Source organism: Homo sapiens, chromosome 2 (assembly GCF_000001405.40).
Source record: "Homo sapiens chromosome 2, GRCh38.p14 Primary Assembly".
In the NCBI taxonomy this organism is placed as follows: Eukaryota; Metazoa; Chordata; class Mammalia; order Primates; family Hominidae; genus Homo; species Homo sapiens.
Window position 1 is genome coordinate 68,212,744 of NC_000002.12, and position 23,404 is coordinate 68,236,147.

General features: G+C 35.6%; 1 protein-coding gene across 1 annotated transcript in view, besides 2 other annotated features; it reads right to left on the reverse strand.

Moving 5' to 3' along the window:
- The window catches only part of PPP3R1 (protein phosphatase 3 regulatory subunit B, alpha), a 73,676-nt gene that overhangs the window by 33,887 nt on the left and 16,385 nt on the right, over positions 1-23,404 (reverse strand). Inside the window, exon 2 of the mRNA NM_000945.4 lies at positions 4,349-4,388. Within this exon, the coding sequence (NP_000936.1) occupies positions 4,349-4,388 (40 nt within the window). The remainder of the gene's footprint in view (positions 1-4,348; positions 4,389-23,404) is intronic.
- Positions 6,976-7,145: an enhancer, noted in NCBI's record as "experimental_59162 CRE fragment used in MPRA reporter constructs". NCBI's record gives its function as "activates a minimal promoter by MPRAs in K562 erythroleukemia cells, with activity observed for the introgressed 2:68446936 variant allele {active_cell/tissue: K562}" and the evidence as "EXISTENCE:reporter gene assay evidence [ECO:0000049][PMID:34662402]".
- Positions 17,613-17,782: an enhancer, noted in NCBI's record as "experimental_59182 CRE fragment used in MPRA reporter constructs". NCBI's record gives its function as "activates a minimal promoter by MPRAs in K562 erythroleukemia cells, with activity observed for both the introgressed and non-introgressed 2:68457573 variant alleles {active_cell/tissue: K562}" and the evidence as "EXISTENCE:reporter gene assay evidence [ECO:0000049][PMID:34662402]".

Genomic DNA, 23,404 nt, shown 5'->3' on the forward strand with positions numbered 1-23,404 from the left:
AGGAAATTTAGCATAATTCTTAAGGTCCTATGATTTACAGAGTGATAAATGAGCACTGACTGTAACTTAAAGTCACCAGCTGCACTGGTCCCCAAGAGGAGAGTCAGTGCCACCTTCATCTTCTGGATAACTTGTTGCAGCTTCTGCATCAGCACTTGCTGCTTCAACTTGCAAGTTATGGAGATGGCTTATCTCCTTATACTTGAAGAACCAACCTCCACTAGCTTCAAACTTTTCTTCTGCAGCTTCCCCATCTCTCTCAGCCTTCAGAGAATTGCTCTGCACTAGGCTTTGGCTTAAGGGAATTTTGTGGCTGGTTTGACCTGCTATCCAGACCATAAAAATTTACCCATATAAGCAATAAGACTGTTTCATTTTCTTATCATTCGTTTGTTCACTGGAGTTAGCACTATTAATTTCCTTTAAGAACTTTTCCTTTGCATTCATGTCTTGGCTAATTGTGTGGCACAGGAGGCCTAGCTTTTGGCCTATCTGGGCTTTTGACACACCTTCCTCAATAAGCTTCATCATTTCTAACTTCTGATTTAAAATTAAAGATGTGTAATTCTTTCTCACTTGAACAATTAGAGAGCAGTGTAGGGTTATTAACTAGCCTAATTTCAATACTGTTGTCTTAGGGAATAGGGAGGTCTGAGGAAAAGGAGAGAGTTGTGGGAATGGCCAGTCAGTACAGCAGTCAGAACACAGACAACTGGACTAAGTTCACCATCTTACATGGACACCGTTCATGCTGCCCCAAAATGATTACAATAGTAACATCAAAGATCACTAACCACAGACCACCATACAGATATAATAATGAAAAGGTATGAAATACTGCAAGAATTACCAAAATGTGACACAGACAGGAAAACATGCTGCTGGGAAAATGGCAGAGACAGACTTGCTTGGCATAGGGTTACCACAAACCTTCAATTTGTAAGAAACACAATTATCTGCAAAAGTACAATAAATCAAAGCATAATAAAATGAGATACACCTGCATACTACCCAAAACAATTTACAAATTCAATGCTATTTCTATTTAACTACCAATGACATTCTTCACAGAATTAGAAAAAACTATTTTAAAATCCGTATGGAACCAAAATAGCCAAGGCAATCCTAAGCAAAAAGAATAAAGCTGGAGACATCACAAGACCTGACTTGAAGCTATACTACAACTAAAACAGCATGGTACTGGTACAAAAACAGATATACAGACCAATGGAACAGAATAGAGAGCCCAGAAATAATGTTGCACACCTACAACAAATTTGACAAAAACAAGCAGTGCAGAAAGGACTCCGTAATTCAATAAGTGGTGCTGGGATAACTAACTATATGCAGAAGACTGAAATTGGACCCCCTTCCTTATACCATATACAAATCAACTCAAGGTAGATTAAAGACTTAATTGTAAAACCTAAACTATAAAAACCCTGTAAGATAAGCTAGAAAATACCAGTCTAGATAAAGGATCTGGAAAGATTTCATGACAAAGACGCCAAAAGCAATTGCAACAAAGACAAAAACTGACAAATCAGACCTAATTAAACTAAAGAGCTTCTGCCAAAGAAACTATCAACAGAGTAAAACAGACAACCTACAGAATGGGAGAAAACATCTGCTAACTACGCATCTATCAAAGGTCTAACATCCAGAATCTCTAAGGAACTTAAACCTAAAAGCAAAAAAAACAACCCCATTAAAAAGTGGGTAAAGGACACGAACAGACACTTTTCAAAAGAAGGCATACATGCGGCCAACAATCATATGAAAAAAATTCTCAACATCACTAATCATTAGAGAAATGCAAATCAAAACCACAATTAGATACTGTCTCACACCAGTCAGAATGGCTATTACTAAAACATCTAAAAATAACAGATGCTGGTGAAGATGCAGAGAAAAGGGAACGCTTATACACTGCTGGTAAGAATGTAAATTAGTTCAGCCGTTGTGGGAAGCAGTGTAGCTATTCCTCAAAGAACTTAAAACAATTACCATTTGACCCAGCAATCCATTACTGGGTATATATCCTAATGAATATAAATCATTCTAACATAAAGACACATGGACACATATATTTACATTATTCACAATATTATTATTCACAATAGCAAAGATATGGAATAAACCTAAATACCCATGAACAGTAGACTGGATAAAGAAAATGAGGTACATATACACCATGGTATACTACGCAGCCATAAAAACACGAGATCGTGTCTTCTGCAGCAACACGGATGCAGCCGGAAACCATTATCCTAAGCAAACGCATGAACAGAAAACCAAATACTGCATGTTCTCACTTGTAAGTGGGATCTAAACAACAAGAACACATGGACACAAAAATGGGAACAACAGACATCAAGGCCTACTTGACAGTGGAGGGTGGGAGGAGGGAGAGGATCAATAAACGACCTATCAGCTACTATGCTTATTACCTGGATGGCAAAATGATCTGTGTACCAAAGCCCCGTGACACACAGTTTATCCATATAACAAACCTGCACATACCCATGAACCTAAAATAAAAGTTTAAAAAAAAACATGAGGTACACCTATATTCCAAAACCCCCCCCAAAATTCAAAACCCAAAACATTTCTGGTCTCAAGATTTTTGGATAAGGGATACTCAACCTGTATTCCCTGTCCATAAGGAAGCCGCATAGTAAATTTGAAAGCTTCGGGCTCCAGAGCATTGCACACACCAACAAATCCAAATCACAACCAGAATCCTACCAGCAAAAACAGTAAAAATAGGAAAAGAACAAACTCTGACTCACTTCTACCTTCCAAATCTCACAAGTATATCTGTGGCAGAAATAAAGTAACATTAAGAACTCTGACTGCAAAGGGATCTGAGATATGTACCTGTGAGTTTTACAGTTTCTACATAGCAGAAAGTTTGAATAGTATTGAATACCTTTGGTAATATAACATGAAACTCTGGTTTCCACACCAACAAACATACTACAATGGGAGAGTATAGAAGACAACCAAATTAAGGGAATGAAGTTGCTCAGAGGATATAAAGAAATTAGGATTTGAAGATGGAGGGGAAAGTGGGTGGGGAAAGAGTAGAGTAGATAGGGCTAAATAAATAAAACTACCATGTATATGAACAGTGTAAACAAGGACTTAAGAACTACTAAGTCCTTGTCTTGTATTAGTAAATACTAAATTATAAATAAAACACACTATAAGAATGTTGTTTTATATATCAATTAGTTGTTTTTTAGACTTAATTCTTAACCCTAAGAGCTAACAGTAACCAAATAAAACTAAAATTTATATTGTAATGGAAAACCATAGAGGGACGATCCTGTATTTTTTAAAGGGATGGCAAAATGAACATGCCCTTTATACAACGTCCCATTAACGGGTACCATCAAATTGGATATGGTAAGTGACCAGACCACTGGTCTAAGCTAAGTCTTAAAAACAAAAAAGGAAAAAAAGCTTACTGGGATATTAATACATGCAAATTAATTCTAAATTAACATCCAATCTTTCAAACATTAAGCTTCTATCAAAGATATACATTAAAGACCTTTTTCAAACTTAAAAATAAGACATTTTAAACATTAGAAAAAGGCTTTAGACAACAGAATTTTATTCTGAAAGTTTGCTGTTCAGTCAGAGAATCACCCCTACCCCTCCCTAAAATGTGAAAAACAAAAAACTTAGTGATTCTATTTGTTCAAAAAATAAAAAAATTAAAAATTAAAAAAAAAAAAGGACTTAATGAATGCTGTGTGCCTTGTCCATCTCTTCTTCCAGAAAATACGGAAAGCTGTACTTTCAAGCCCCAACAGTGGCTGCATAACTAGCTCTGGCCCATAAATATGAAATATGAGCACCAGTGATATAAATCACCTCTGGGCCAAGGCAGATAAAAGCACTGCCGACAGGTCCTTGGATTTCCCTCTTCCTCAGTGATCTTGGGAATAAGCATTAGAGATGGTGGCATTCCAAGACAAGGGAGCCTGGATCACTGAGTCACCAAAGAGAAAAGAGTTCCTACAAATCCACTTTGAAACTTCACTTGAAAAACTTCTGTTAGGTTAAGACACTGAGATTTCAGGGTTTAATTATAACTATAGTACAGTGTAGATATGAGTAATAAAGAAGTCTATTTAAAAAAATGTTCCTACTCTGGTAACATAAATAGACTGTATGTCAAATTCACTACCCACTTTAAATAGTTAAGGGCTCACATTGCTACAAAGGTAAGTAAATATACATTACAGAGGTATGATACACACACACACACACACACACACACACAGAGAGAGATGAGTGAATAAAAGTAACTTTTGGTAACAAGAATATGACTTACAGTGTGAGCACATTTCCAAAGGATAACTTGCCTCATTTCCCTGGGGGGAAAGAAAGAAATAATTAGTCATAAAATAGGCACAAATTTGTTTAAAATATTAAACCTAAATATTTTAAGTCAAAAAACATAGGGAAATAAGCCATAAACTAATAATATGACCACATATATAAATTACATTTATATTTTTAAAAAATAAGAAAACAAATGATAATACTGTAGAAAGAGTTCTTGAATCAAACTGTTCTGACTTATGACTCTGTCACTTAGGATTTATGCAAATATTTGATTGCAATATATTTCAAATATTTTCTAATACCCTAAATAAGTTATATGCCAAATTTTAACACATTAGGGACTGTCAATGTTCCAACATGTCTTGCTGGGTGAACTGATTTTGCAGTAGAGATTAGAACAAAGATTCCCTTGCCAACTCTAACTGAAGAGTTTCCTGAGACTGCAAAATGAGCTGTTAAAAACAAAAAAACAGAAACCTGCTACCATTTTTCCCTGCATTGAAACATAATTTTCTATATGCTGAGCAACTAAAATAAGAAAAACATTAATGGAAAGGTGAGTCTAACTTGACAGCCAGCCACTTGAAAACCATTTCAAATTTTTCTTTTCATACAAAGTCTTATTTCATGAATAGACCCTAACTTAACATAATTTATCTGAGCTCCTAATTTATATATAAAAAAAGTAGAACTATCAATTTTCTATACTAGGATTTTATGTGAAATATATTTAAGAAAAAAAGTGTTCTAGAAAAACTAGAGACCTGGGTCAGTGCCTACATTTAACAACTCTTGAGAACTGGGACCAGGGAGGTCAAATATCTGCTGGAAGATCACACCATTTGATTAGCAGTGGAATCGAAAGTACTTCTAAATCTAAAACAGTAATATCTCAAGTAGTATAACAGACTCAGAGGTAGAATCATTAAGGTCTTTAAAAACGTCTACAGAATTTAAAGTAATATAAATTAAGTTTTTAAAGTTCAGTGGTAAATTGAATACGAAGCATCCTATATTCTATTTATCTAACCTTGACCCTGCCTAGCAATTAAATAGCAGTAAGTATACAGTTGCTATTAATTTAAGTGTACAATTAACATGGGCATATTTAAATATATATCTTCAGAAGCTACTGAAAACCTGAATTCTTTTTTTTAGTATGACTGGCTGGCTTTTAAACTCCTCAACGTACCTTTAATCTTATGTAAACTTAAAGGCTAATCAGTAAATTACCACATTCAATTAACTGACATATTGCCAATAGCTAGTCTTTTTCTTGCAAGTTATAGCAGATAATTGCAATTTTCCAGAACTGGTTAATTTAATATTAGGTCACTTTAAATATCAAATATGTTAAAGTGAGGATAAAAGAAAGCAAACATTAATAAAGCTTGATATTAATGAACAGAGATGGATTTCTGCTTACTTTGCACATTACTTAATTGATCTTAATATTCTTACCATGATTCTTATCTTCACTGCCTTACATATTCTTGCTGTCTTAATTTTTTTAATGTTTTTTTTTCCTTATTCCACTCCACCTTAAAGTTAAGTATGTTTCTTGCAAGACTCTCAAGAGCATACCGGTATTTTATTTACTAAAATTTGCACTGTCACTGTGAGTTTTTTTTTTTTTAAATAAGTATCATTACTGTTTTATAAGTGAAGGTAAAAAAGTGTTATGTGGTGGTTTCAAGCAGGATTTTAAAACCAGGTCCTTGTTTCTCCAGTTCACTGACCTTTACAGTGTTATCAATTCTTTCTAAATGATACCATCTATCTCACCTATTTATCTGTATCATTCCCAACTAGACAACGTCCACAAGACCTAAGAACCAACCAGTCCAGGGCTCCTAAGGACTTTCCCATTAACAAAGAATAACTCGTCTTGCTCCTAAACTTGGAATGCATATATCCAAAACACTACTGCAACCACAATCTGTCCCAAACTGACCACATCACATCTCTGCTAAAATTCAATAGCTCCCACCTGCCTTCAGAATAAAAACCAACACTCTTTAGAAAGCTAAGTAAAGTCCTTTAATTAAGAGAACTCGTATCTCTGTAGTCACTCTCCCAAACAGCACCACCATCTCTATCCTACACTCCCCACTTTTTACTTCAAATTCTGTATTGTTTGAACTTTCACAGCAAGAATGTCTTCATAGTCTACCTTCCATTTAAAAAAGGAAACCAAAGCAAAACATGGCAATATAAAGATAATTTTGTCAATATGGTCAATATAATTTTGTTCCACGTTCAGTCTTCCTCATGCTTAGTCATTAGTAAAAACAGGAGTTTTGGAGATTCCCCTTTATACTCCTCTCCACACCCCCTCACGTTCAGCTTCTTAAGCTACTACCTGGGAGTATTACATTTATCAGTAATTGTTTCATTCAGGTTTGGTGTGTGGGCTATAGTTTATTGATCCCTGAACCTAATGCATAATTACATTTAACAAAAAATACACATCAGTTTGTAAATTATTATATCAGACTTAACTGGAAAAAATAGCATTTCTGAAGGTAAATTAATTCTGCAGTGAATTTGTAGCCAATAGCTCCAGTCTAGGGTTGGGAAATACTAAAATAATGATAGATACTGTGAGAGACATACCCAATAAGGTACTGACATTTACTTCTAAGAGAACCACTCAACTAAACAAAACCATAAAATTATATCTAAATATGAAAAAAGTCCTAAAGCTAACATGTTTTAAGTTTACATAAGAACACTTGAAGAATTCAAACATCATGCCACATGACCAAGTTACTGACAAGATCACTTGTTGATGAGGTCCTTAAATAAATCCATTTGCCTGAAGTTCAAGATAGACTCCCCTTACACTATACTGATTTAAAAATTCAGTAACATCTGCCCATGGGGGAGAAATGCTATATGAACCACTTGACCAGTGTTAAAAAAAACTAGTAAATCAGAAAAATTTTATCAAACAACATTTATCAGGCATTTTCTGTGATCATCTATATAAGAAAACAAAAGAGGTAAAGCCCTTAGGATCTATGTCCCAGCTTACTGTCTGGAGAAAGTTTCCAGGTTGCAGCACAGGAACAGAGAACAGAAACACAATCCCGAGACATCGCCAAATTGAGAAGTCAGAGATACATGAAGTTCGTATGGCCAAGGAGGTGAGACTTGTGAGGAAGAGTACTTCAGAAAAGGGAGACACATGAGAGAACTTTGGAGATCTGCATAAAAGTCTCCTCCAGTCTCTGCATAAGTTTGAGAGGAAACTCCCCAAGTCCAGGAAAAGAACTAGTAGCAGGTTGAATAACTTTTGGGAGTTTGCACAGAGCTAGGAATAGTTCATGATCCCATGGGCCAAACTGGAGAAACTTGTAAATACACAGGGAATTGGGTCCAGTCCTCAGAACGACTATATTGGCCATGAATTAAAGGCTGTTCTTTACTTACCTTAAGAAAGATAGAAAACAAATCTCAGATCAAATTTGGGTCTCAGTAACTTAAGTGGATGGCAAAACAAACTCTTACGTTCTTTAAAGGAATAAAACAAAATCTAGCACAACAGCATAAGATTCACAATGTATGTATGACATCCAATATAAAACATAATAGGACGCTATAAAATGGATGAACTTCAAAATCATGGTAAGTAAAAGAAGCCAAAAACAAAAGGCCACATTTTATGATTCCATTTATATGAAATATACTGATAAAGAAAATACACAGAAACAAAATGTAGAGACTGGTGGGTGCCAGTTACACAGAAACAGAATGTAGAGACTGGTGGGTGCCAGTTGCTGGGGGAGGAGGAATGGTGAACAATTACTTTTTGGCTATGGGGTTTCCTTTTAGGGTGATGAAAATATTTTCGAATGACATAGAGGTGGTGGTTGTACTACATTATAAATGCCAGCCTGGGCAACATGGCAAAACACTGTCTCTACAAAAAATACAAAAAAGGCCAGGCATGGTGGCTCACGCCTGTAATCCCACCACATTGGGAGGCCGAGGCAGGCAGATCACTTGAGGTCAGGAGTTCAAGACCAGCCTGGTCAACATGGTGAAATCTGTCTCTACAAAAAATACAAAAATTAGCTGGGCATGGTGGCGGGTGCCTGTAATCCCAGCTACTCGAGAGGCTGAGGCAAGAGAATCTCTTGAACCTGAAGGTGGAGGCTGCAGTGAGCAGAGATTGCACCACTGCACTCCAGCCTGGGCAACAGAGCGAGACTCCACCTCAAAAATAAAAACAAAAACACGAGCCAGGCATGTTAGCATATGCCTGTAGTCTCGGCTACTCAGGAGGGTGATATGGGATAACTGCTTGAGCCTGATAGGTCAAGGGTGCAGTGAGCCTTGAGCACACCACTGCACTCCAGCCTGGGCAACCAAGCAAGACTTTGTAAATAAATAAATAAACAAATGTCACTGAACTGTTCACTTTTAAAATGACTTTGTTATGTGAATTTCACATCAATAAAACGTTTTATATGCTGTTTAAAGAAATAATGGCCCCAAATCTTCCAAATTTGATGAAAACTTTAAATCCCCAAATTCAAGAAGTTCAATGAACTCTAAGTAGAAGAAACATGGAAAAAAAAAAGCCACATAATAAATTGCTGTGACACAGAAAATCTTAAATATAATCAGAGGGGAAAAAAGATAAACTACATACATACAACATAATTACTACAGCATATTTCTCCTTAGATACACCAAGGACAGGAAACAATGGAATCTGTTTAAAGTGTTTAAAAAAAAAAAACTATCAGTTTTTATATCCAGCAAAAATATCTTTCAAATATTATGGCAAATGCTTTTTCCAGATAACAAAAACTGAAAGGAAAGATTAGGCTTCAATATATGTTCACTACAAAAAAAAAGTCAAAAGAAAATTCTTCAGGCAGAAGAAAAATGATACCAGATGGAAAGCTGGATCTAGACAAAGAAATGAAAAATATCAGAAATGGTAAATAAAATAAAATAAAAGATATTTTTCTCATGTTTAAATGTCTTTAAAATATGACTTTTAAAAGCAAAGATAACATGTTGTGGGGTATATAAAGTGAACATATGACAACAGCACAAAAGGGTAGAGAAAAAATGGATGTATGCTGTTGTCAGGATCTTACACTGTAAGAGAAACACTGTATCATTATTTGAAGGTACAGCATGGTATATTAAAGATGTATATTGTAAACTCTAGAACAACTTAAAAAAGGAGACGAAATAAAATGGTATCATTGTGATGGTTAATTTTGTGTCAACCTAACTGGGCCAAGGGATGCTCAGATATCCAGCTAAACATTATTTCTGAGTGAGAGTCAGCTAGGCTGTTTGTGGAAGAGATTAGCATCTGAACTGGTGAACTAAGTAAAACTGATTGGATAACATCCATCTGTCCAGCACCTAAATAGAACAAAAAGGCAGAAGATTGAATTAGTTCTCTGCCTCACTGCCTGAGCTGCAAAGTCAAGCTTTTCCTTACCTCAATGCCCCTGGTTCTCAGGCCTTCAGACTCAGACTAGAATTTATACCATCAGTTCTTCAGCTCTCAGGCCTTCAAGCTACAGCACCAGCTTTCCTGGGTCTCTAACTTAAAGACAGCAGGAACAGAACTTCTTAGCCTCCATAATCATGTGAGGCAATATCATATAATAAATCTCTTTCTAGACATATGTATCTCCTACTGGTTATTTCTCTGGAGAAACCTGACTAATACAATCAGAAAGAATACTCAATCCCATGAAAGGCAGACAAATAGGTACAAAGAAAAAGCAAATGAGAAAAAAAAGAAAGTAAATAGTAAGAAGGCAGATTTAAAAGCAAACATTTTGAGAATTATACATTTCATAATGCTAAAAAAGAGCCAATTCATCAGAAAGATGAAATCCAAAAACATACCAATCCTACACAAATTATTTCAGAAAGCAGAAAGGAAGGGTACTGTCCTGAACTCATTTTATGAAGCCAGCACTACTGTGATGCCAAAATCAGACAGTATCACAAAAAAAGAAAACTATGGCCGGGCGCGGTGGCTCACGCCTATAATCCTAACACTTGGGGGGCTGAGGCAGGAGTATCACTTAAGGTCAGGAGTTCAAGACCAGCCTGGCCAACATGTTGAAACCCATCTCTACTAAGAATACAAAAATCAGCTGAGCATGATGGTAGGCACCTGTACAATCCCAGCTACTTGGGACGCTGAGGCAGAAGAATCGCTTGAACCTGGGAGGTGGAAGTTGCAGTGAGCTGAGATCACGCCACTACACTCTAGCCTAGGCAACAGTGCGAGACTCTGTCTCAAAACAACAACAACAACAAAAGAAAACTATATCTAATGTTTCTCTATGACCAATAATGTAAAAATCCTTAAAAATATCTTAGCAAATTGAATCCAAAAATAAACACCATGACTGAGGATTATTCCAGCAATGGAAGGTTGGTTTAATATTCAAAACCAACGTGATTCACAACATTAACAGAGGAAAAAAAAAGAAAAAAACCACATGGCCAACCAAACAGACGCAATAAAAGCATCTGACAAATTGCAACATCCATTTTTGATAAAACAAGAGTAACTCAGCAAACTAGGACTATTTCTCTATCTATAAAAGGTTATCTACAAAAATTCTTCAAAAAGTGTCATATGTAATAAGATTCTCCCTAAGATTAGAACAAGATAAAGACATCTGCACAAATACAAAAGGGAAGACAAAAAAAAAAAAAAACAAAAGGTATACAGATTGGAAAGGAATAAACTGCCTTTCGTTGCAGATGACATAATTGTGTATGTACATAAATCCTAAGCAAATTACTAAAAAGCTATCAAAACTAATAAATGAATTAAGCAAGACGGCAAGATAAAAGGTCAATATACAAAAGTTAAATATATTTCATATTCTGGAAACATGGAAAATGAAATTAAGAATGCAGTTCCATTTACAAAATCATCAAAAATACAAAATACTTAGAAACAGTTAATAAGAGATGTGCAGGGAGTACACATGAAGACTATAAGACATAGCTAAGAAAGAGATCTAAGAAAACCCAGCTATATTTGTTCATAGATCAGAAGGCTCAATGTTGTTAAGATGGCAATTCTTCCCATAATGATCTGCATATAGAAGACAATCCTAATAAAAATCCCAGCAGAATATTTTATAGAAATCAATAAACTAATTCTAAAATTCATATGGAGATGCAAAGAACCTAACAGCCAAGGGATCTGAATGAAAAACAACAATGGTGAAGGACTTAACAATATCTGACTTAAAGAGTTATGAAGGGCTGGGTGCGGTAGCTCATGCCTGTAATCCCAGCACTTTGGGAGGCCGAGGCGAGTGGATCACTTGAGGTCAGGAGTTTGAAACCAGCCTGACCAACATGGTGAAACCCTGTCTCTACTGAAAATACAAAAAAAACTAGCCGGGCGTGGTGGCAGGCGCCTGCAATCCCAGCTACTCGGGAAGCTGAGGCAGGAGAATCACTTGAACCTGGGAAGCAGAGGTTGCAGTGAGCTGAAATCACGCCACTGCACTCCAGCCTCGGCAGCAGAGCAAGACTCGTCTCAGGAAAAAAAAAAAAAAAGTTATAAAGCTAGTCATCAAAAGAGTGGTACTGGTGTAAGAACAGACAAATATCAATTGGACAGAATAAAGTAAACACACACACACAATTTTCAAGAAAGGTTTCCAGGTAATTAAATGGGGAAAAAAAATCTTTGCAACAAATGATGCTACAACAACTGAATAGCAATATGCAATTTAAAAAAAATGACATGAAGACTTGAATAGATATTTCACAACAAAAGATATGATTAACATCAAATAAACACATGAAAAGACATTTAATATCACTAGACATTAGAGAAATGCAAGTTAAAACCAAAGTGAGATATTACTATACAGGCAACTGGCATAATAAATATGGCTATAATTTAAAAATGGACACACAAAGTGTAACTGAAGATGTGGAATAAATGATTATGTGGTGAACAGAATTCTTAGGTAGCCCTTTGAAATTCTGAACCCCTTGTATACATACTTTTTCTCCCAATTACTAAATCAAACACTCATCTAGTTACTGCTGCAGAAGGATTTTGCACATGTAATTAAGGTCCCAAATCAACCACCTCTGGATAAGATTTATCCAGGTGGCCCTGACCTGTAAGAGCCCTTTAAAAGCAATTTTCCCTGTGTGGTCTAAGAAGGTGAAAATGAAAGAGTCAAAGCAGGAGAGGAATTCAACACAAGGGAAGTGGAGAGGCCACATGGCATTGAATGCAGGCAGCCTGACGGGGATAAGAGTGACCTCTAGTGAACAGGAGCAAGGAAACAGAGTGCTCAATCTCATAAGGGCAAAGAGCTGAATTCTGCCAATAACGTGAACAGCTTGGAAAGCAGACTTCCCCAGAACCTCCACAGGAGAACTTGGTCTGGATGGCATCTTGATTTCAGCCTTGTGATACTCTGAAGGGAACCCAGTCATGCAGTGGTGAGCTTCTGATTTGCAGAACTATGAAATAATAAATGAGTGCTGTTTTAGACTACTATGTTTATGGGAATTTGTTACACAGCAACAGAAAACTAATATCCAAACTTATAGTGTATGCGGCTAAAAATAAAAACACTGACATACCAAAGTGTTGGTGAAGATGTAGAGCAAATGAAAATTTTATATCTTGCTAGTGGGAACTCAAAATTGTACCGCTATTTCAAAAAAACAGTGTGTTGGACTCTTAGTGTAACCAGAAATGAAAACATGTCCACACAGAAATCTGTACTCACATGTCCACAGCAGCTTTATTCAGCTTTATTCTTAATAGACCAATCTGGAAACAACCTAAATGTCTTCAACTGGTGAACAGATAAACTGTTATATCCAGACAATGGAGTACTATTCGGTAATGAATAGGAAAAGACTACTAATACACCCAATAACATAATGAATCTCAAAAGCAATATGCTAAGTAAAAGAAACCAGACACAAAAAGCTATGTGCTGTATGGTTCCATTTATAAATGCTACAAAAAAACAAACTACAGTAACTGAAAGTTAAGGTGTTGTGGGGTAGAGGGGGAGAACAGGGAGTGAACACAAAAGGGTACCAGGTAACATTTCAGGGTGATAGACCTATTCTACATCTTGACTGTGGTGATTACAAAACTATATACATTTATCAAGGCACATTAACTATGCACTTAAAACTAGTTAGTTTTTACCATAGGTAAGTTGTACCTCAATAAAGCTGATTTTTATAACTCAAAATATTAAGGACCTTAGTCCCAAATATAATGGAATTGCTTAATACATAATTTTAGTCTCCAGTTTAGAAACAATCTCATCACTTTCTTTAAAACAATAAAGTTTCACAGCTGTCATATTATTCAAAATTCAAACTATATGGATTTATTTTTATAAGACACATTTCAAGGTAATGTATTCATAGCAAATAACATTTTCCAGATTAATCTTACAGAATCATGAGACACCAAAAACTATTTACACTTACAGTAATCTTGACATTTATAATTCATCCCTTAGTCTCCTTCCCTGATTTTAAACTCCATGAAGGCACCAACTGTCTTACTATCTTTTGATATCCTTTGCCAGATTTAACATTGTCCTAAATTTACTTTAAAGGAAGAATTTGATTAGGTGCATGGTAAAAGTCTGGAACGGTTTAAGTCCTAATTTAAGCATCAATGCGTTAAAGTACAAGGTTAGATTAAGGGCATTAGAAGACCCGAATTCTTAAAAGTCCAGTTATTCAAGCACTTTAGATTTTCTCTTTCCTTTTGATGCTCACTTTTTATAATGAGTATTAAGCATTTGGATCTGCATACATTTTAAATAAGCAAACAGTACTCTAATACTGAAGTAATATTTATAGTTCACAAAGAGTCTATAACCAAATAAGGAAATGTTGTCATCTCTTAAACTCTACTAGATAAAGATGTCTAAATATTCTGACTGCATATTCTCTGAAATATTCAAAGCTTTACAGAATGCATCTATAAAGTTTATTTTTATTCTTTCAAACCTTGTCACTTTAAGATCAAAGTAACTCTAAACCAAAGAGAACCAAGTTTTTTCATTTCTTTGCCAGAAAATTTCTTTATTTTCCTGATTCCTACAGATCTGATCCCAAAACTGACAATCGTAATAGAATATTTTTTAAAAATGTTGAATAACATGAACTTGAAAAGTAAGTTATCTTAGGAATCAATCTAAATGTCTTTACCTGCTGAAAGCTTGATGACTGCACAATTAATGTAATTATCATAATGAAATTAATTTTTTCTAGGGTAAAGTCACTGACCATCTTAGTAACTGTTCTAGAACAGATTCTCCTTATTCTTAAATACAAAGCAAAAGGTGTTTGGATGCATGAATGTCGGGGACAGAAAAGATCAAAAGACAGAAACAAGAGATAAAAACCAATCATACCTATGACAGATCCAAGCTTCTTTAATGATTTTAGGAGGGAAAAAAAAAAAACCTTAAAATTTCTAGTCTGATAAATGCTGCCATAATTACAATCTATAACTTGAGTGAATCCATCCAGCAAATGTTTGAAGGCACATAATATGTTTAACTATTTTAAAGATCCTATTACTCACTTTGACAGTTAAACTATATTTCCTATTAAATGACACCTAAATTACCCCCATTCCTGTTTTTCCTTCTACTATTTAATGTTAACAACAATTTTTGTGTTTATCTTGTATTGTGCACAATTTCGCCGAACTTATTCATTAGTACTTTTATTTTTTGTAGATTTCTTGAAAATTTTCTATGTAGATAGTCATACCATCTGCAAACGGGATCCGTTTTTCTTCTTTCCAATCTGTATGCCTTTATATTCTTTTCCTGCATTACTGCACTGACTAGAACTTTCAGCACTACGCTAAAAAGGGCAGAAATCCTTGCTTTGTTACAGATCTTACAGAGAAAGTACTGTCTTTTGCCATTAAGTATAATGTCAGCTGTAGGTTTTCACAGATGTTCTTTATTCAACTGATAACATTTCCCTCTATATTTTTCTAAGTTTTTGTTTTGTCTTGGGTTTTATTCTTTAGTCTATTAATATAATTATACAGACTAAGTTTCAAATAGTGAACCAGCCTTGCACCCATAAAACCACCATAACTGATTATGGTGTATAATCTTTTAAAAATATTAACTCTATTTGTTAATGTTTTAAGGATTTCTGCATCTACACTGACATGAGGATGTTGGTCCATAGTTATCTTTTTTGGATTTTGGTATCAAGGAAACAGGGCTACTCAAATTCTATTTCACACTGGAAGAGGTGTGATAGTTTGTGTTTAAGGAACTGGTTCATTACTTCAAAGTTGTCAAATTTATGTATATAAAATTGGTCATAGTAACCCCTTATCTTTTTTCACATCTGCAGGGTCTACAGTGATGTCCCCTATTTCATTCCTGATAATGGTAATTTGTGTCTTATTACTTGTCAGTCTTACTGATGTTTTTGAAGAATGAGCTTTTTGTTTCAAAGGGTTTTTCTCTATTGTTTCTGTTTTTTATTTCATTTACTATTTCCTTCCTTCTGCTTGCTTCAGGTAGATTTTTCTCATCTTTTTTTCTAGGTTCTTGAAGTGGGAGCTTAGATTATTGATTTGAGGGGGCTTTTCTTTTCCTCTTCTCAAATGTGTGCATTTAGTGGTATAAATTTCCCTCTCTAAACTGCTTTAGTTGTATCCCACAACTTTGGTATGTTGTATTCTTATTTTCATGAAGCTCAATGTATTTTTTAAAATTTCCCTTGAGACTTCCTCTTTCACTCATAGATTATTTGGAAGTGTTTAGAGATTTTCCAGGTATCTATTATTGATTTCTAGTTTGATTCCACTTTGGTAGGAGAACACATTCTTTGATTTCAATTCCTTAAAATGTGTTTATGTTTTCTGGGGGGTTTTCTGAGACAGGGTCTCACTGTCACTCAGCTTGAGTGTAGTGGCATGACATGGCTCACTGCAGCCTCAAATTCCTGGGCTCAAGTGATCCTCTCCCACCTCATCCACTCAACTACAGGCATATGCCATCATGCTCAGCTAATTATTTTTTTTTTTTCATGGAGACTGAGTCTTGCTACATTGCCCAGGCTCGTCTCAAACTCCTGGCCTCATGCAATCCTCCCACCTTAGCCACCCCAAGCATTTAGGATTATAGGCATGAACCACCATGCCCAAATGAGGTTTACTTTTATGGCCCAGGACATAACTTTCCTTGGTATATGTTCTCTGGTCACTTGAAAAGATGAAGCATTCTATAAATTACATAGCACTGGTTGATTACATATGTTGAGTATCTTTCTATATCCTTGCTGATTTTCTTGCTTGGTTACTCCACCATTTATTGAGAAATAGGTGTTGACGTCTCCAATTATAATTTTGGACTTGTGTATTTCTCTTTTTAGTTCCATCAGTCTTTTTTCATATATTTTGCAGTTCTACTGCTAACACATTTAAAACTGCTATGTCTTCTTAGTGGATTGATTAACCCTTTTATCATATAATGCCTAGTCACTGTCTCTGGTAACTGCTTTGTTATGAGGTCTACTTTATCTAATATTAAATATAACCATACCTGCTTTCTTTGGATTAATGTTTGCATGATACATCTTTCTCCTTCCTTTTACTTTCAACATGCCTATATTGTTACATTTAAAGTAAATTTCTTACAGAAATCATATGATTGGGTAATGTCTTTAATTGATTCTGCCAGTATGTTTAATTGGTGTGTGTGTGTGTGTGTATGTATGTGTGTATATATATATACGGGTGTGTGTGTATATGTGTATATATATGTGTGTGTATGTGTGTATATATGTGTGTGTGTATATATACACACATACACACACACACACACACACACACACACACACACACACATATATATTTGGAGACAGGCTGTCACTCTGGAGCGTAGCGGCACAATCTTGGCTCACTGCATTCTCCACCTCCCAGGCTTAAGCAATGCCCCCATCTCAGCCTCCTGAGTAGCTGGGACCACAAGCACTCGCCACCGTGCCCAGCTAATTTTTTGTATTTTTGGTTGAGACAGGTTTCACCATGTTGCCCAGGCTGGTCTCAAACTCCTGAGCTCAGGCAATCCACATGCCTCAACCTTCCAAAGTGCTGGGATTACAGGCGTAAGCCACCATGCCCGGCCTTCATTTCTGTTTTCTTTATCCTGTCTCCTGGTGGGTTAAACATTTTTTAAATTCCATTTTGATTTATCTATAATGCTTTTGCATGTATCTGTAGAGCTTCCTTAGTGGTTGCTCTATGTACATTACACAGATAACTTTTCACAATCTCATTGGTATCATCATTTTACCCTCTCCCTGCTTACAGCTATCTTAAATATTTCCTCTACATACCTTTAGAACCACATCAGTATTGTAATTTTTGCTTCAACACTCAAACATAATTTAAAAACTCAAAAGGAGAATGTCTATTGTATTTACCCGTACTTTTACACTTTGAATTGTTCCTTCCTCTTTCCTGATGTTCCAAGATTCTTTCATCATACCCTTCTGTTTTCAGAATGTCTTTTGTTATCTTTCTAGGGTAAGTCTGCTGGTGACATACTCTCTTCATTTTCCTTCATATGTCTTGATTTCCCTTTCATTCCAGAAGGGTGTTTTCTCTAGATACAGGTTTCTGAGTTGACAGTCCTTTTCTTTCAGCACTTGAAAAATGTGAAATTTCCTTCTGATTAGAAACCTGCTATCATTTGAACTGTTTTCCACATCTACATGAAGTGTAATTTCTCTCGTGCTGATTTCAAGACTTGTCTTGTTTTTATAAGTTTTACTTTGAGATATCCTGGTCTGGATGTCTACAGGTTTATCCTGTTGAACATTCACTTGGCTTTTTAAAACTGTAGCTTAATGTCTTTTGCCAAATTCGCAAAATTTTCAGCCATTATTTCCTTAAGTACTTTTTCAATCCTGCCCTCTCTCTTCCTCTCCTTCTGTGACTCTAACGACACAAGTGTTAAATCTTTTTATAGACTCATGGTTCCCTGAGGCTCTGCACATTTTTTTTTTCAGTCTGTTTACTGTTGTTCAGACTGGGTAACTACTTCTGCCTGCTAGTTCACTGATCTTTCCTCAGTCTGGTCTATTTGCTATTAAGCCTACTCACTGGGCTACTGTATTGTTTATTATATTTTTCAGTTCTAAAATTACTATTTGGTCTTTCTTTATGTCTTCTATTTCTTTGCTGAAGTTTTCTTTCTTTTTTTTTTCCTGTTTCATGTACGTCAGTTTTTTCTTTGAGTGACACAAGCTTGTTCATTTTTGAGAAAATGTGTGCCAAATACTCAAGTGTGAATAATAGATTTTATTAGTTGTTCTCGCTAGTAGTTTTGGTATTCTATGAAAAAAAGCAGCTAGTTCAGCTTACAAATCACACAAGTGCTTGTTTTTCCTCAAAACTACTATTACAATTTCACATGTACAAGTAGTGCTTTACACTTTTATCATTTTATCATGGAGATATTTAAAATACGTGTAGTTATTGGTTGAGATTTAACAAAATATTGCTTTATCAGTGATATTCTTAAGCAAAAGTGGTGTTTTTTAAAATTGCAAGTACACAGTAATAAAGAAAACAACTTCTAGTAAAGTAGGGTGCTTCTGTTTTGATTCATGCTAAGGTACCATCAAGTTTTACTAATGATTGCTTTTGCACCATCAGTATAAATATAAACAGTCAAGACAGGTAATGTTTTAGTGTTATTATGAAAACAATTTTGACCTCATGTGCTCCCTAGAAAGTGTCCTGGGGATCCCCAAGTATCCATGAACCACTCTGAAAATTGCCAATCTAATCTTAAGATCTTATTTAGGCTGGGCGCCGTGGCTCATGCCTGTAATCCCAGCACTTTGGGAGGCCAAGGCGGGCAGATCACCTGAGGTCAGGAGTTCAAGACCAGCCAGGACAACATGGGAATACCCGTATCTACTAAAAAAAAAAAAATATATATATATATATACACACACACACACATATATATGTATATATATATACATATATAAATACATATATACGTATATGTATATACATATTATATACATATTGTATATGTATATATGTGTGTGTGTGTGTGTGTGTGTGTGTGTGTGTGTGTGTGTGTATATATATATACACACACACAAAAATTAGCCAGGCGTGATGGCAAGCATCTGTAACCCCAGCCACTCGGTAGGCTGACACAGGAGAATCACTCGAACCTGGGAGGTGGAGGTTGCAGTGAGCCAAGATCACACCACTGCACTCCAGCCTGCGCAACAGAGTGAGACTCTTGTCTCAAAAAAAAAAAATCTTATTTAGATTTTGCCATTAGGGAGTATCAACATGTAAAGAACTGAAAGAGAAATGTATCAAAGAAAAAGAAAACTCATACAGCAACAGAACCAGTAGACTATGGATCTACTCTATTTGTCCTAATATTCTATTACAGTGTTTTTGTTGTTGTTGTTGTTGTTGTTTTTGAGACAGAGTCTTGCTCTGTCACCCAGGCTGGAGTGCAGTGGCACGATCTCAGCTCACTGCAATCTCCACCTCACAGGTTCAAGCAATTCTCCTGCCTCAGCCTCTCGAGTAGCTGGGATTACAGGCATGCACCACTTTGCCCAGCTAATTTTTGTATTTTCAATAGAGATGAGGTTTTGCCATATTGGCCAGGCTGGTCTCCAACACTTGATCTCAGGTGATCCACCCACCTCAGCCTCCCAAAATGCTGGGATTATAGGCTTGAGCCACCACACCTGGTCTCTATTATATTTCTATAATAATATTATCCTGTAATACATATCACAAAGATATCCTAGCCAGGCTACTATCTACTATAATCTACTATAATATACAATCACAAACACTTTCTTATTTGCTTATTCTTTCTTTCTTATTTCTTATTCACACAAAAGCAGACCACATTATTCTGAGTCTCTCTCTTGTAGAAAAATATTTCCTCAGTTACCACACAATTACTTTGGCTACGAATGAGACAAGATTCTATCTTAACTAAGACCTAAATTAAATGCAAAGAGATGTTTCCACACATGGCATCAGTTTCTCATTAACTCACTATACTTTAAGCTCCATGACAGCAAAGCACTTGCATGTTTTGTTTACTCTTCAGTTCATGATACAGAGAAAATAATAAATATCTTTGAATTATCATTAAATATGCTTTTATAAGTAATTATTAAGTAAATCCCTTTTATTTCTTTGGGAAAATATATTGACTCCAGAACAACTGGAGTTTTAGCTTCAGATATAGTTCACTTGCAAGTGGATCTTCCTCTGCATGCCAACCTCAATTTTTCTAGGAATGAGACTTCCAATATTTAGGCAAATTCTCGAAATACTGAGTATTATGTCCCAAAATGTAAAAATAATATTTTACAAACTGCTTAGTACACTGTAAGCAATCAATTAATAAATCCAAATATTCAAAATTAACACCTCACTCCCAAAGGTGTATTTCCCAAATCGCAGTAATTTTTTTTTTAAGTCTACAAACAAAAAAAATCTGATAGCTTTTTTCTTCTGGTTTTCTTCTAACCATGGAATTTCTTTTCTACTATTCTTTAAGTTCTAAAATCCTTCAGATACCTCAGATAAACTAATTTACATTTCAATGACTTTTTTCAAACTGAACATAGAATAAATGTTGCTTTATCAAGTTTCAAAATTTTTTTTGTAGGTAGAAACTAATGGATCTAGAAAGTAATCCTTAAAAGTTAAAAGTTAACTCTGTGACTATAAACAGGGATGGAAAAAAGAAAGTTAACATTTACTGAATACAAAAAAAACAGAGAAATAACATTTACATGCTGAGCACTCTATTAGAGACTTTACATACATTATCTCATTTATCCTCCCAAACAATCCCCTGGGTAAACAGAGGTTATAAAGAAGCTTAAGGCCGGGCACGGTGGCTCACGCCTGTAATCCCAGCACTTTGGGAGGCCGAGGCCAGCAGATCACGAGGTCAGGAGATCAAGACCATCCTGGCTAACACGGTGAAACCCCGTCTCTAGTAAAAATAAAAAAAATTAGTCGGGCATGGTGGTAGACACCTGTAGTCCCAGCTACTCGGGAGGCTAAGGCAGGAGAATGGCGTGAACCTGGGAGGCGGAACTTGCAGTGAGCCGAGATTGTGCCACTGCACTCCAGCCTGGGGAACAGAGTGAGACTCCGTCCAAAAAAAAAAAAAGAAGCTTAAGCAGCTTGCACAAGGTCACGCAGCTGGGTAGTGGTAGAGACCAAATTTGAACTCAAGCTAATATAAATCCCATAACATTCTTACCAACATATCATAAAGCCGCAGCCATTCTGTATTATGCAAGAGGAGCAAGAAGTTATTACAGCCATTTTCTTCTCATCTTAGAACACTTAAATTCAAGTGGCTTGTTACTGCCAACTCACACTGGCATAGCAATTTTAAATGTCTTCCATATATCTAAAACAGCAGTCACAATCGCAGAAACACGACAGTGAGAGGGTGTCAGGTGAAGACAGCTGAGGAGTAAAATGGATGAAAAACGTGAAATACTATTACATGGAAACTTTCCAACAACTTCCTGCAGGTAGCAACAATAATTTGGTACTACTTTCTAATTTAAAAACATATATAATAACCCCCTCAAAAACCAGAAAATGATATATGTATGGCATTTTCAATAATTATAATTGAGAAAGTAATCTCAAAACAAGAAATAAAGTCCTAGCAATGGGACAGTTCAGATAATGATAAGATACCATATTGACTATGGCCATAGGAAATAGCTGAAGTAGAGAGAAAACTAAAGGTTAGTAAAATGGAGGTGGTCAACAAACACTAAGGCTAGAATGTCCATAAAGATGTAACCTGATGGTGGAACACAGAGGGAAAATGTGAGACAAGTACTTAAATTTTGAATGAAAAATTGAGTAACGAGAAAGATTTGAGTTAGCAATGAGAACAGATAAAGAATGGCTTAGCAGGAAAATGAAGAATAATCTATTATGGGTCAGCAAGCTTTGGCTTGCTGGTCAATAAGCCTACCACCTGTTTTGTTTTATTACCGCTTTATTGAAATATAATTTATATACCACACAAACCATCCATCTAAAGTATACAACTCAATGGTTTTAGTACATTCAAACCATTGTGCAGCCATCACCACAATCAAATTTAGAGCATATTTATTACCCACAAAAGCCTGTATCTACTGGCAGTCATTCCCCAACTCCCCCTCAGGCCAGCCCTAAGTAATCACAAATCTACTTTCTGGCTCTACATATTTGCCTATTCTGGATATTAAATACAAATGAAATTATACAATATATGATCCTGTATGACTGGCTACTTAGTCGAGTATTTTCAAGGTTAATCTAATGTGTTGTAACAAGTATCAACACACTTCTTTTTACTAATGAACATTTCATTCGTATGAACATACCATATTTATCGATTCATCAGTTAATAAACATTTGGACTGTTTCCATTTTTGGCCATTATGAATAATGTTATTATGAACATTCATGTCCAAGTTTTTCACTTCATTTCACATGTTTCATTTCTTTTAGGTATATACCCAGGAATGGAATTACTAGGTCATATGGTAACTCTATGTTTGACATTTTGAGGAATTATTTTCTAATGCAGTTATAAACATTTACATTCCCACCAGCAAGGTTTGAGGGTTCCAGTTTCTCCACATCCTTGACAATACTTATCAGTCTTTTTTGATTATAACAATCCTAGTGGGTGTGAAGTGCTATCTCGACATTTTGATTTGCAATTCTCTAATGACTAATGATGTTGAGCATCTTTGCATGCACTACTGACATCTTCATATCTTCTCTGGAGAAATACCTACTCAGAACCTTTGCCCACTTTTAAATTGAGTTGTCTTTTTATTGCTGAGTTATAAGAATTGTTTATATATCCTGAATAGAAATTTCTTATCAGATAACGATTTTGAGAAACTCCCCCTTTCTGAGAATTGTCTTATTTTCTTGTCT